This window comes from Homo sapiens, chromosome 8 (genome assembly GCF_000001405.40).
Source record: "Homo sapiens chromosome 8, GRCh38.p14 Primary Assembly".
Taxonomy (NCBI): Eukaryota; Metazoa; Chordata; class Mammalia; order Primates; family Hominidae; genus Homo; species Homo sapiens.
Window position 1 is genome coordinate 93,480,276 of NC_000008.11, and position 14,796 is coordinate 93,495,071.

General features: G+C 39.3%; 1 long non-coding RNA gene across 1 annotated transcript in view; it reads right to left on the reverse strand.

Annotated features, from left to right (window-relative positions):
• CIBAR1-DT (CIBAR1 divergent transcript) overlaps positions 1-14,796 on the reverse strand; it is a 353,967-nt gene that overhangs the window by 133,809 nt on the left and 205,362 nt on the right. The gene's annotated exons all lie outside the window — the stretch shown is intronic.

Sequence of the window (14,796 nt, forward strand, 5' to 3'; positions counted from 1 at the left end):
TGGAACCAACCTAAATGTCCATCAATGATAGTCTGGATTAAGAAAATGTGGCACATATACATCATGGAATACTATGCAGCCATAAAAAAGGATGAGTTCATGTCCTTTGTAGGGACATGGATGATGCTGGAAACCAACATTCTCAGCAAACTACTGCAAGGACAGAAAACCAAACACTGCATATTCTCACTCATAGGTGGGAATTGAACAATGAGAACACATGGACACAGGATGGGGAACATCACACACTGCGGCCTGTCGTGGGGTGGGGGAAGTGAGGAGGGATAGCATTAGGAGATATACCTAATGTAAATGACGAGTTAATGGGTGCAGCACACCAACATAGCACATGTATACATATGTAACAAACCTACATGTTGTGCACATGTACCCTAGAACTTAAAGTATAAAAGAAAAAAAAAAAAAACCTCTCCTTGCCATCAATCAAAACAATTATGTCATGAACTTTGTCTGGTCCCAATCAGGCCACCACATTGAAAGACCTGCCTTAGACCAGACCCCTAAAAACCTAATAAACATATGACTTTCATTGTTCTTCCTCTGAAATGGTTGTCTCTCTTACTGCTTTGCTTTATCAAAGGTGTCTTTTAGTGTCTTTTCAGGGAATCCACAGTTGATGGATTTTTGTTCCTTTTTAGAAAATACAGAGGCCAAGTAGAACTAAAATAATTTATATTTCCCTCTATCATTTTAACTTTAAATCCTCCAATAATGGGCCTATTTGTTCTCTTTTTTGTTCCAAACATAGCAAATAATCTTTTTTAGTTTTCTTTAGCACTTTTTCCCTAATCATAGCACATTTTGAACTTTTTAATCTTCCATACGTTGTTTCTTCTTTCACCTCTAAACCTCCGTATCTTCACCTTTCAATGAGAGTGAATGTCTCCTGCTCCACAGGAAAATGGGGAGATTAAGTGAGATAATGTTTGTGAATACATTTTGCTGTCCAAATATCAAGGACAGAGTCTTCCTTCATTTTCTCATAGTTTTTTGCATTTATCTCTATTTTAGTCTCTACATATGGCTCTCTCTTTCACTCTAAACTCTGAAACAGTAGGAATTTCCATCTTTTTATCTATCTCAAAATTTTGCCCAGGGTGTATCCAAAGTTGGTTCTCTGTAACACAGGAGGGAGAGGAGGAAGGCCAGACTGGGTAAAAGTGTGCAGGTAGCCAAAAGGGTAAACAGACAGACAAGTGTCCAAGCTCTGACAATGCAAACCTGACAGCAAGTGGGCAGGTGCTGAACCAAAGTTAAAGCTAAAGTTCCAGTCCCCCATGCAGAGGCAAGAGTCACTAATTGACGGTTGTTTAAGGGATACCTTTGTCACTGTTGGATCTGACTTTCTGGTCAGGAATACCCTTGTCTTAAAGGGGCCAAGTCCCCACACAGAGCAGATATGTTTCTGAATTGCTCTACCATGGACATGGTCCATATTTCATTTTACAGCTCCCTTCCCCTCTTGAATGCTATTTCTTTCTATGGTCTGTGGCTACAGAAACCATTATGTAAACTCTTAAAAATTCTCTTTTCAACCTTACTACCAGGATAGGCACTTTCCAACATTTTTTCCCTTTACCATTAGGAACCCCAAGAAAACCAAGTCACTTCCTGAGAATGTCTCACAATAGGTGGCTGGAAAAGAAATCAGACTTATCCATGGCCTCTGTGGAGCAAACTGACTGTGTCTAACAAGTATTTAATGGACAGATGTCTACATAATAAGTCTGAATCTCATCACTCATCCAGAGGACACTCACTCCAGCTAGTGTTCAAAATTCTCTGAACAGGAAAAGCTTCTGCTTTTTTTCCTAAAGGGGACTATAGCATCCTCAGATCACAAGAGCAAATTCATATAATCCAAGTAAGTATTGCGGTCCAAATGAAATGCTGATGTCTCCACACATTCATATGTTGAAATCCTAACCCCCAAGATGATGGTAGTAAGAGGTGGGGAGGAGGAGACTAGGTCATGAGAGTAGAGTCCTTATGAATGGAATGAGTGCCCTTATAAAAGAAGCCTGAGAGAGATCTCTTACCCCTTCCACCATGTGAGGATACAGTGAGAAGACACCAACTGTGAACCAGGAAATGGGCCCTCACCAGAAAATATAGAGGACAAGTAGGACTATAATCATTTCTATTTCCCTCTATCATTTTAACTCTGGGAGGCCAACTGGCTCCCAAATCTGTCAGTGCTTTGTTCTTGGACTCCTCAGCCTCCAGAACTGTAAGAAATAAATTTCTATAATTCATAAGCTACCCAGTCTACAGAATTTTGTTACAGAAGCCCAAACAGCCTAAGACACCAAGGATGCACATATTTTCACAGTAGTGCCAGTTTTCTCTTGGCTGATGCCCTCTAACTTTTATTTTTTCAGCACAGTAAATGGCAATAAGACTACATCATTTAAAAAGGGGAAGGAGGAGTTTGTTTTTGTTGTGGGTGGTTTTTTTACTACCAGACACAGAGAAATGTATTACACAGAATTTGCCTTAAGTTATTTTCAGTTGGAATACTTATTTAACTATATTATTTTGAAAGCTGAAATCTAGCAGCAAAAATTAATTATATCTATTTCATATATATGAATTTTATAATTTTATATATAATGAATATGTATTTTATATATACACAATTTTACATATATGAACTTTATAATTTATATATATATATGAATAAACACACACCTATCTAAGCTCCTTAAAACACTGTTCTAAAACTTCTAATCAAGGATTACAAACTCCAATGCCTCTAAGAATAAGACAGGTAAAAAGCTAAACAATAGGAGTAGTGAAGACTACGGCAAACCTGAGAGTTCATGCCCTGCCTAAAAACATCCAAATGTATTTTTTAATAATAGTCTCTTTGCTAATTAAAGCTATCTGTGGGCCAAATTCAACTCTGGGGCCCCCGTTTGTGATCTCTGCAAAAACTTCTGTTAAAACTCCAATATATGGATGGGGTTCCAAGATGGCCGAAAAGGAACAGCTCCAGTCTACAGTTTCCAGTGTGAGCAACTCAGGAGACAGGTGATTTCCGCATTTCCAACTGAGGTACCGGGTTCATCTCACTGGGGCTTGTCAGACAGTGGGTGCAGCCCATGGAGCATGAGCCGAAGCAGGGCGAGGCATTGCCTCATCCAGGAAACACAAGGGGTCAGGGAATTCCCTTTCCTAGGCAAGGGAAGCCTTGAAAGACAGTACCTGGAAAATCGGGACACTCCCACCCTAATACTGCACTTTTTCAATGGTCTTAGCAAACAGCACACCAGGAGATTACATCCTGTGCCTGGCTCGGAGGGTCCCACACCCATGGAGCCTTGCTCACTACTAGCACAGCAGACTGAGACTGAACTGCAAGGTGGCGGCAAGGCTGGGGGAGGGGCATCTGCCATTGCTGAGGCTTGAGTAGATAAACAAAGCAGCCAGGAAGCTAAACTGGGTGGAGTCCACCACAGCTCAAGGAGGCCTGCCTGCCTCTGTAGACTCCACTTCTGGAGGCGGGGCATAGCTGAACAAAAGGCAGCAGAAACTTCTGCAGACTTAAACGTCCCTGTCTGACAGCTTTGAAGACAGTGGTGGTTCTCCCAGCACAGAGTTTGAGATCTGAGAACGGAAAGACTGCCTTCTCAAGTGGGTCCTTGACCCCGGAGTAGCCTTGTTGGGAGGCACCTACCAGTAGGGGCTGACTGACACCTCCTGCGTCCGGGTGCCGCTCTGAGACGAAGCTTCCAGAGGAAGGATCAGGCAGCAACATTTGCTGTTCTGCAATATTTGTGGTTCTGCAGCCTCCACTGGTGATACCCAGGCAAACAGCGTCTGGAGTGGACCTCCAGCAAACTCCAACAGATCTGCAGCTGAGGATCCTGACTGTTAGAAGGAAAACTAACAAACAGAAAAGACATCCACACCAAAACTCTACCTGTATGTCACCATCATCAAAGACCAAAGGTAGATAAAACCACAAAGATGGGGAGAAACCAAAGCAGAGAAGCTGAAAATTCTAAAAATCAGAGTGCCTCTTCTTCTCCAAAGGAACGCAGCTCCTCACCAGCAATGGAACAAAGCTGGATAGAGAATGACTTTGACGAAGAAGGCTTCAGTCAATCAGTAATAGCAAACTTCTCCGAGCTAAAGGAGGATGTTCGAACCCATCACAAAGAAGCTAAAAACCTTGAAAAAAGATTAGATGAATGGCTATCTAGAATAAACAGCATAGAGAAGACCTTAAATGACCTGATGGAGCTGAAAACCATGGCACGAGAACTACGTGATGCATGCACAAGCTTCAGTAGCCGATTCAATCAAGTGGAAGAAAGGGTATGAGTGATTGAAGATCACATGAATGAAATGAAGTGAGAAGAGAAGTTTAGAGAAAAAGGAGTAAAAAGAAATGAACAAATCATCCAAAAAATATGGGACTATGTGAAAAGACCAAATCTACTTCTGACTGGTATACCTGAAAGTGATGGGGAGAATGGAACCAAGTTGGAAAACATTCTTTAGGATATTATCAGGAGAACTTCCCCAACCTAGCAAGGCAGGTCAACATTCAAATTCAGGAAATACAGAGAACACCACAAAGATACTACTCGAGAAGAGAAACTCCAAGACACATAATTGTTAGATTCACCAAAGTTGAAATGAAGGAAAAAATGTTAAGGGCAGCCAGAGAGAAAGGTCGGGTTACCCACAAAGGGAAGCCCATCAGACTAACAGCTGATCTCTCGGCAGAAACTCTACAAGCCAGAAGAGAGTGGGGGCCAATATTCAACGTTCTTAAAGAAAAGAATTTTCAACCCAGAATTTCATATCCAGCCAAACTAAGCTTCATAAATGAAGGAGAAATAAAATCCTTTACAGACAAGCAAATGCTGAGGGATTTTGTCACCACCAGGCCTGCCTTACAAGAACTCCTGAAGGAAGCACTAAACATGGAAAGGAACAACCCGTACCAGACACTCCAAAAACATGCCAAATTGTAAAGACCATCGATGCTAGGAAGAAACTGCATCAACTAATAAGCAAAATAACCAGCTAACGTCATAATGACAGGATCAAATTCACACATAACAATATTAACCTTAAATGTAAATGGGCTAAATGCTCCAATTAAAACACACAGACTGGCACATTGGATAAAGAGTCAAGACCCATCAGTGTAATGTATTCAGGAGACCCATCTCACGTGCAAAGACACACATAGGCTCAAAATAAAGGGATGGAGGAAGATCTACCAAGCAAATGGAAAACAAAAAAAGCAGGGGTTGCAATCCTAGTCTCTGATAAAACAGACCTTAAACTGACAAAGATCAAAAGAGACAAAGAAGGCCATTACATAATGGTAAAGGGATCAATTCAACAAGAAGAGCTAACTATCCTAAATATATATGCACCCAATACAGGAGCACCCAGATTCATAAAGCAAATCCTTAGAGACCTACAAAGAGACTTAGACTCCCACACAATAATAATGGGAGACTTTAACACCCCACTGTCAACATTAGACACATCAACGAGACAGAAAGTTAACAAGGATATCCAGGAATTGAACTCAGCTCTGCATCAAGCAGACGTAATAGACATCTACAGAACTCTCCACCCAAAATCAACAGAATATACATTCTTCTCAGCACCACATCACACTTATTCCAAAATTTAGCATGTAGTTGGAAGCAAAGCACTCCTCAGCACATGTAAAAGAACAGAAATTATAACAAACTGTCTCTCAGAACACAGTGCAATCAAACTAGAACTCAGGATTAAGAAACTCACTCAAAACCACACAACGACATGGAAACTGAACAACCTGCTCCTGAATGACTACTGGGTACATAACAAAATGAAGGCAGAAATGAAGATGTTCTTTGAAACCAATGAGAACAAAGACACAACGTACCAGAATCTCTGGGACACATTTAAAGCAGTGTGTAGAAGGAAATTTATAGCACTAAATGCCCGCAAGAGAAAGCAGGAAAGATCTAAAATTGACACCCTAACATCACAATTAAAAGAACTAGAGAAACAAGAGCAAACACATTCAAAAGCTAGCAGAAGGCAAGAAATAACTAAGATCAGAGCAGAATGAAGAAGATAGGGACATAAAAAACTCTTCGAAAAAATCAATGAATTCAGGAGCTGGTTTTTTGAAAAGATCAACAAAATTGACAGACTGCTAGCAAGACGAATAAAAAAGAAAGGAGAGAAGAATCAAATAGATGCAATAAAAAATAATAAAGGGTATATCACCACTGATCCCACAGAAATACAAACTACCATCACAGAATACTATAAACTCCTCTATGCAAATAAACTAGAAAATCTAGAAGAAATGAATAAATTCCTGGACACATACACCCTCCCAAGACTAAACCAGGAAGAAGTTGAATCCCTGAATAGACCAATAACAGGCTCTGAAATTGACGCAATAATTAAGAGCCTACCAACCAAAAAAAGTCCAGGACCACACGGATTCACACTCGAATTCTACCAGAGGTACATAGAGGAGCTGGTACCATTCCTTCTGAAACTATTCCAGTCAATACAAAAACAGGGAATCCTCCCTAACTCATTTTATGAGGCCAGCATCATCTTGATACCAAAGCCTGGCAGAGACGCACAAAAAAAGAGAATTTTAGACCAATATCCCTGATGAACATCAATGCGAAAACCCTCAATAAAATACTGGCAAAACCAAATCCAGCAGCACATCAAAAAACTTATCCACCATGATCAAGTTGGCTTCATCCCTGGGATGCAAGGCTAGTTCGACATATGCAAATCAAAAAACGTAATCCATCATATAAACAGAACCAAAGACAAAAACCACATGATTATCTCAATAGATGCAGAAAAGGCCTCTGACGAAATTCAACAGCGCTTCATGCTAAAAACTCTCAATAAATTAGGTATTCATGGGGCATATCTCAAAATAACAAGAGCTATTTATGACAAACCCACAGCCAATACCATACTGAATGAGCAAAAACTGGAAGCATTCCCTTTGAAAACTGGCACAAGACAGGGATGCCCTCTCTCACCACTCCTATTCAACACAGTGTTGGACGTTCTGGCCAGGTCAATCAGGCAGGAGACAGAAATAAAGGGTATTCAATTAGGAAAAAAGGAAGTCAAATTGTCCCTGTTTGCAGATGACATGATTGTATATTTAGAAATCCCCATCATCTCAGCCCCAAATCTCCTTAAGCTGATAAGCAACTTCAGCAAAGTCTCAGGATACAAAATCAATGTGCAAAAATCACAAGCATTCTTATACACTAATAACAGACAAACAGAGAGCCAAATCATGAGTGAACTCCCATTCACAATTGCTTCAAAGAGAATAAAATATCTAGGAATCCAACTTACAAGGGATGTGAAGGACTTCTTCAAGGAAAACTACAAACCACTGCTCAATGAAATAAAAGAGGACACACACAAACGGAAGAAGATTCCATGGTCATGGATAGGAAGAATCAATATCGTGAAAATGGCCATACTGCCCAAGGTAATTTATAGATTCAATGCCATCCCCATCAAGCTCCCATTGTCTTTCTTCACAGAATTGGAAAAAACTACTTTAAAGTTCATATGGAACCAAAAAAGAGCCCGCATTGCCAAGTCAATCCTAAGCCAAAGGAGCAAAGCTGGAGGCATCACGCCACCTGACTTCAAACTATACTACAAGGCTACAGTAACCAAAACAGCATGGTACTGGTACCAAAACAGAGATATAGACCAATGGAACAGAACACAGCCCTCAGAAATAATACCACACATCTACAACCATTTGATCTTTGACAAACCTGACAAAAACAAGCAATGGGGAAAGGATTCCCTATTTAATAAATGGTACTGGGAAAACTGGGTAGCCATATGTAGAAAGCTGAAACTGGATCCCTTCCTTACACCTTATACAAAAATTAATTCAAGATGGATTAAACACTTAAGTGTTAGACCTAAAACCATAAAAACCCTAGAAGAAAACCTAGGCAATACCATTCAGGACATAGGCATGGGCAAGGACTTCATGACTAAAACACCAAAAGCAATGTCAACAAAAGCCAAAATAGACAAATGGGATCTAATTAAACTAAAGAGCTTCTGCACAGCAAAAGAAACTACCATCAGAGTGAACAGGCAACCTACAGCATGGGAGAAAATTTTTACAAGTACCCATCTGACAAAGGGCTAATATCCAGATTCTACAAAGAACTTAAACAAATTTACAAGAAAAAATCAAACAACCCCATCAAAAAGTGGGCAAAGGATATGAAGAGACACTTCTCAAAAGAAGACATTTATGCAGCCAACAGACACATGAAAAAATGCTCGTCATCACTGGCCATCAGAGAAATGCAAATCAAAACCACAATGAGATACCATCTCACACCAGTTAGAATGGCGATCATTAAAAAGTCAGGAAACAACAGGTGCTGGGGAGGATGTGGAGAAATAGGAACACTTTTACACTGTTGGTGGACTGTAAAATAGTTCAACCATTGTGGAAGACAGTGTGGCGATTCCTCAAGGATCTAGAACTAGAAATACCATTTGACCCAGCCATCCCATTACTGGGTATATACCCAAAGGATTGTAAATCATTCTGCTATAAAGACACATGCACAAGTATGTTTATTGCAGCACTATTCACAATAGCAAAGACTTGGAACCAACCCAAATGTCCACCAATGATAGTCTGGATTAAGAAAATGTGGCACATATACATCATGGAATACTATGCAGCCATAAAAAAGGATGAGTTCATGTCCTTTGTAGGGACATGGATGAAGCTGGAAACCATCATTCTGAGCAAACTATTGCAAGGACAGAAAACCAAACACTGCATGTTCTTACTCATAGGTGGGAATTGCACAACGAGAACACTTGGACCCAGGATGGGGAACAGCACACACCAGGGCCTGTCGTGGGATGGGGGAAGTCGGGAGGGACAGCATTAGGAGATATACCTAATGTAAATGACAAGTTAATGGGTGCAGCACACCAACATGGCACATGTATACATATGTAACAAACCTGCATGTTGTGCACATGTACCCTAGAACTTAAAGTATAATATAAATAAATAAATAAATAAAACTCTGATATATGGCCAGGTGCGGTGGCTCACGCCTGTAATCCCAACACTTTGGGAGGCCAAGGTGGGTGGATCACGAGGTCAGGAGTTCAAGACCAGCCTGGCCAAAATGGTGAAACCCCGTCTCTACTAAAACTAGAAAAATTAGCCTGTAATCCCAGCTACTTGGGAGGCTGAGGCAGGAGAATCGCTTGAACCCGGGCAGCAGAAGTTGCAGTGAGCTGAGATAGTGCCACTGCACTCCAGCCTGGGTGACAGGGTGAGATTCCATCTCAAAAAATAAACAAACAAACAAAAACTCCATATACAAGCAATCATATCTCTCACTATCTCAGTTACTCTACATACACTGAAAACAGCTTACTTTTGGTTTTACATATCACAAGATCTTATTAGAGACACATCAGCACGATTTGAATTCTATCCTCTGGTCTGTTCTCCAGTTGTGCCACTAAGAGCCAGTTGGCCTCCCAAATATTATCTGGACATATACTTACGTTAGCCAACTGGCTGCTGGTACTGGTGCTGGTGATGAGTAACTGTTATTAAGTGCTTATGACACACTAAACATGAAATTGTTGTTCTCCCCATATTTAATGAATAATGAATAGTCAATAAAAGCAAGCGTTGGTAAATAAGTCATAATGCTACTGTCTCATTATGAAAATACATACTATAGTGCATGAATAAGAGTCACTACTGTCTATAGAGTGGTCAGTTTGTATTTCATCTATTGTGTGTGTGTGTGTGTGTGTGTGTGTGCATGCGCACATGCATGGTGAGAAAGAAAGACAGCAATCAGATGGTACAATCGACACATAATTTTATCTTCCAGTCTGTGTTTGAATAAACAACTGGCCGACATATAGTTTTGCCCACTACATATTCAGTTCTCATTATCAGCCAAGATCTCTCAAGGTGCTTTGCAAAGTCATTAAAATCATATCATTCTATGTTAACATAATATTTTAAGGTTCTTTCTGAGCTTCATAAAATACCAAATGAAAGTTGATTTTTCCTTAATGAATAATTCTAAATGTGTGATCATATGTAGCCCTGACAACCCAGAAGTGAGACAGAAGACTATACAGTATGAGCACTTGGCCATGTCAAAGTAGTCCAGGCTGAAATTGTCTTATCAGTAGTGGTTAATTATTTGAAACAAACATTCTCAATAACAAGTGGATATTCAATTGGTAGCCAAGGTTCTGATGTCAGGAAGTTGTTATTAAGGGCCTGCAATTCCCTTTAAAATTCCAAGAAGACATGTGGATATGAGGATAAACATTTACCTTCTAGAGCAAGGGTGGATGAACTTTTTCTCTAAAGGGCTAAACAGTAAATACTTTAACCTTTTCAGGCCATACAGTCTCTGCCTCAACTACTGAACTCACCATCGTAGCAAGAAAGCAGCCAGACAATATGTAACTAAACGGGTATAGCAGTGTTCCAATAAAACTTCATTTATGGACACTGAAATTTGAATTTCGTGTCATTTTAATGTCACAAAATATTTTTCTCTTTTGATTTTTTTATCATTTAAAAATATAAAAACATTCTTAGCTTACGGCTTGCACAAAAACAAGCAAGGGGCTAAATTTGGCTCACTGGCCATTTTTTTGTTGTTGTTATTAACAAATTAAATATCTAAAGACAAAAAGATTATTGAATGGCTTCTGCTCTGGAGTAAGAAATCTGAATAAGGTTCAATTTGGTTAATATAGCTTCATACCTTGCCCTCTTAACATCATTAATTAATTTCCCAGGCTGAATGAAGGAGAGATGGGCTCCCTCCCTCTTTTCTGCATGGAGCACTTCTACTCAACCATTTGGACCCTACAGATACCCTCTTCGCCCTGTTCTTATTCGTTATTTCCCTCCTCATATAAAAAGCTAAAATGTTATCTATAATTTATCTAGTTTAATTGTAAAGTTAAGCAAGTGGGTTTTAGGAATAATTAATACCATGGGGAAAAATGTTCATAGTGTGTTAAGTAAAAGGATCAGAAAACCACATCATAGGTGCAATATGATCCCAATCTGTGAGGGGAGGTGTTATCTTTTGTTGATTAATCCTTGAAGGTGGTTTGGATTTTATCTAGATTGTTCTCAGTCTCTTCAAAGGCATAATTATTTAAGCATAAAATACATTATTTTCTTCATTTCTTTTCTAAATATCATCCAAACCCTTGAAGCTGATCTCCCTTCCTTGTGCATCTTCCACTTACTCTGATTTGTATCTTCTGACCTTAAATCCTGAGCCTTAATTCCAAGCCTTCATCTAAAAATAGACTCTCTAACAAAGGCCACTGTAAATATTGATAACACGTTGTGGCTCTCAAGGCTGCTAGATTGTTCTAGAAAAGTGAGGCCTTGTTAAGAGAGACTTTTAAAATCACTTTGTCCTTGTCTGGGAATGGCTTTATTATTTAGCCAAGTTACCTGATAATTAACACAGATCTAACCAATTAGGCTAACATAAGCGTCACCTGATTCTTGCTCTGAGTCCTGGCTTTCTGTTTAGTGCAAATTAGCGCCTACTAATTAAATAAATTTAAGTGCCAATAAATAAAGCATGGCAAGAATTGATTCAAAAAATACTATATTCAGTAGATTTGCTAATGCTTCCTTCCCAAATTGATACGAACTCAAAAGGATGGGGAGGGCATCAAATTTAACTACCTATATAATAAAAAGACAAGGTTAGAATTTGCAGAACCACAGTAAAACGAAGCATCATACTCTACTACTTTAAGGGCCCTAATCCTATGGTCACTTCTTAGGCAGTATAAATATATTATAAACTAGACAGCGTTCAGGTGTATTCACTCATCGCTTTTTCTGTGCATTCATTTCACCTTCCCAGTATGTCCTTGGGATCCAAGCATAAACTGTGATGCCAGCATGATGAACTTAAAGTCTTGATAAAATTCATTGGATGTGTTTTAGACAGTTGAATGAACAAAAGAAAATTTTAACCTAAAAACCTTTCCACAGTCTCCTTTGTATTTATTCTTTATTTTCAATATTAGAAACACCACCCTGGTTACTTCCTACTGGTTTTTTAGTCTACTAGTTAGTTCATTGGTCTCCCTAACTTTGGTCTTTTCTCCAATGTCACCCATCCTGTGCATCCAGCATGCCTCTGATCATGCCTTCCCTCTGCTAAAAAAAAAAAAAAAAAAAAAAAACCTTCATAGGCTCCCTGCTGCCAAATGAATAATTTTTTTAAAATAAATTCAGGGCTCTTTGCAATTAGTCCCAAGTTTTTCAAAATTGCTTTCTATTATATTCTTATGACTAGCTCAAGCTTCAGTCTTTCTCTGAATATGCCCTAAGTTTTCTTTCCATTCTCTTTTCTGTTACTTATGTTACCCTGTAATGATAATAACGAATGATAGTAATAGCCACCACCTATTGAGTCTTCACTACATCCACATAATCTCTAATCCCTTTACAAACATTATCTCCCTTTATCCATAGAAACACATTAATAAAGTAGGTATCATATCCCCCCTCAAAGAAGTTAAGCAACTTGCCTATGGTTACCTATAACATACTAAGTGTTGGAATTAGGTTTCAAATCCAGGCCTCTGAATTACATGCCCATTCCCTTAACCACTTTATCTCTCACTTACTCCATTCCAAACGCAAATGCCCTCACCACCCACTTCCCAAATAACCACACACATACACACACACAGAAACTCAACCATTCTTCAAGGCCTATCCCAAATGCCACCTACCTCCTACATAAAGTCTTTCCTGTTACCGTTCCCTTCTCCCATAGGTCCTCCTCCTCGAAAACTCCAAACTATATCCTTTCTGCCTAAGAATCCATATGCCCCTAGGCTTCAACAGCTAGTGATCTCAAAATAAGATCATTTATTATTTAATATTAAAATTATAATGACTGAATCCTGTCCCATGAATCACAGGAAGTCTATTTTTTTAACCAAGTTTCCTCCATATATAATTTCTGGGAACCCCAGTGGAGTACCCATATGCTCCAAAATGTATCTTAACTTCGCCCTATTACCCATGTTCTGAAATACTGCTGTATCAGAACTTCCCTAGGGTCTCTTTGGGGTGTTTTCTCTTCCTGTACTGATTTGCTTCAAGATTGGACACCAGTCCACTTTGTTAATCATCAGCTCCCCCAAAAAGACCACCAGAAAAACCTGGTGATTGAGCAAAGCGAAGTTTATCGGACTTAACCGCTGTAAAGAATACCACCATGACAAGGACTTACTTGGTCTCAGAGGATGCAGATCAGAAAATGGATATTTCTAGAATTCTATGACTTGGCTTAAGGGGGATTCTTTCAAGTTGGAGAACTAATTGAGATTAGACAATGTTTATGACATAGTAGTTTAGAATTGGTGAATACAGCAACACTCATGTCTTGAAGCAAGTTGTGATAAATCGTTATCTGAAAAGTGAACCGTTGCTTAGATGAGGAAACCTATCATTCTGATAGAACTGTTTGCCTAGATAACCAAATGCTTTGCCCAGATAAATTAATTTGCAAGAATTTCCTAAAGCAAACAGTAAAGTTATTTACTGGTTTACAGTTTTATCTTGTTGAGAAAGAATTTCCTAGAAATAATAGGTCATATTGACACAAGCTATCAGAGTTCTCAACTTCTCACCATTTCTTGATTCACAGCTAAGCTCAGACTATGGTATATAACAAGACTTTATTGAATCATTGTAGGGTAATGGAGATACAATGTATGAAGCTCCCTTTTTTGGCTGCTAATAACAGTTACTCTTGCAGCTTACAGACCATAAAGCCAACTGCAAGTCACTTGTTTAACCTCCAGAATAAAAGATAGAATTAAGAAAATGCACAGATAGAAACTGAAGACTAACAGGCAAGATAGCAGATCGGGGGAAACTAAAAGCAAATCATCAATCTGGGGGCATCAATCATTAGTTGCCAAGGTATTAGGCTGTTAATGGTTTTGCTATTCTTTTTCTGTTTGAAGCTCTTTGATAGCATTTTCCAAATGAAGTCTCGGGGTTCCCATTCATTTACATGTGATGTTCCAACAGGCTGAAAGGGGATATTGAGATCACCTCACCTACTCAATCTGTGATGATTTTAGAACTTTAATTGTAATCATGTGGCAACTCCCAAACCCCCTTTCACTCTCAGCCTCATACAGGTAGCTCAATGCAGTGCTTTTTAAACTTACCTACTGAAGCATCCCCCTAACGACAGAGAAAAGTTTTATCTTACCTCTGGTAATATTACTACCTCAGGGAAAAGAGCCAGGTTTAAACTCAGGTTTCTAACAATCACCCCACTACCACTCCAGGTTGAGAGACACATCCTTATGTTGATCAATTTATTTGTTATTACTCTGAAAGATTAAGATGATGTTATTACAACTGCTGACATATTAATTGTCCCCTAAAACAGAGTTTGCAAGTATCTGATCATGGAAGAATTTCCTTTCGCTCCCTATATGATTGAAGTTCAACATCAGCTTGTTTTGATTTTTATTTTACTTTCTCTCCCACTGCCATAGGCGCACGCACACACGCACACACACGCACATTCACACATAAGTCAGGCTACCTGAAAAAGGCATCTCCATGAAACCTTCCAGTGGAGCAGCACAGACAGGCATGGCCTTTGGCCCTGTTCCTCCCCACACAGCCTCAGA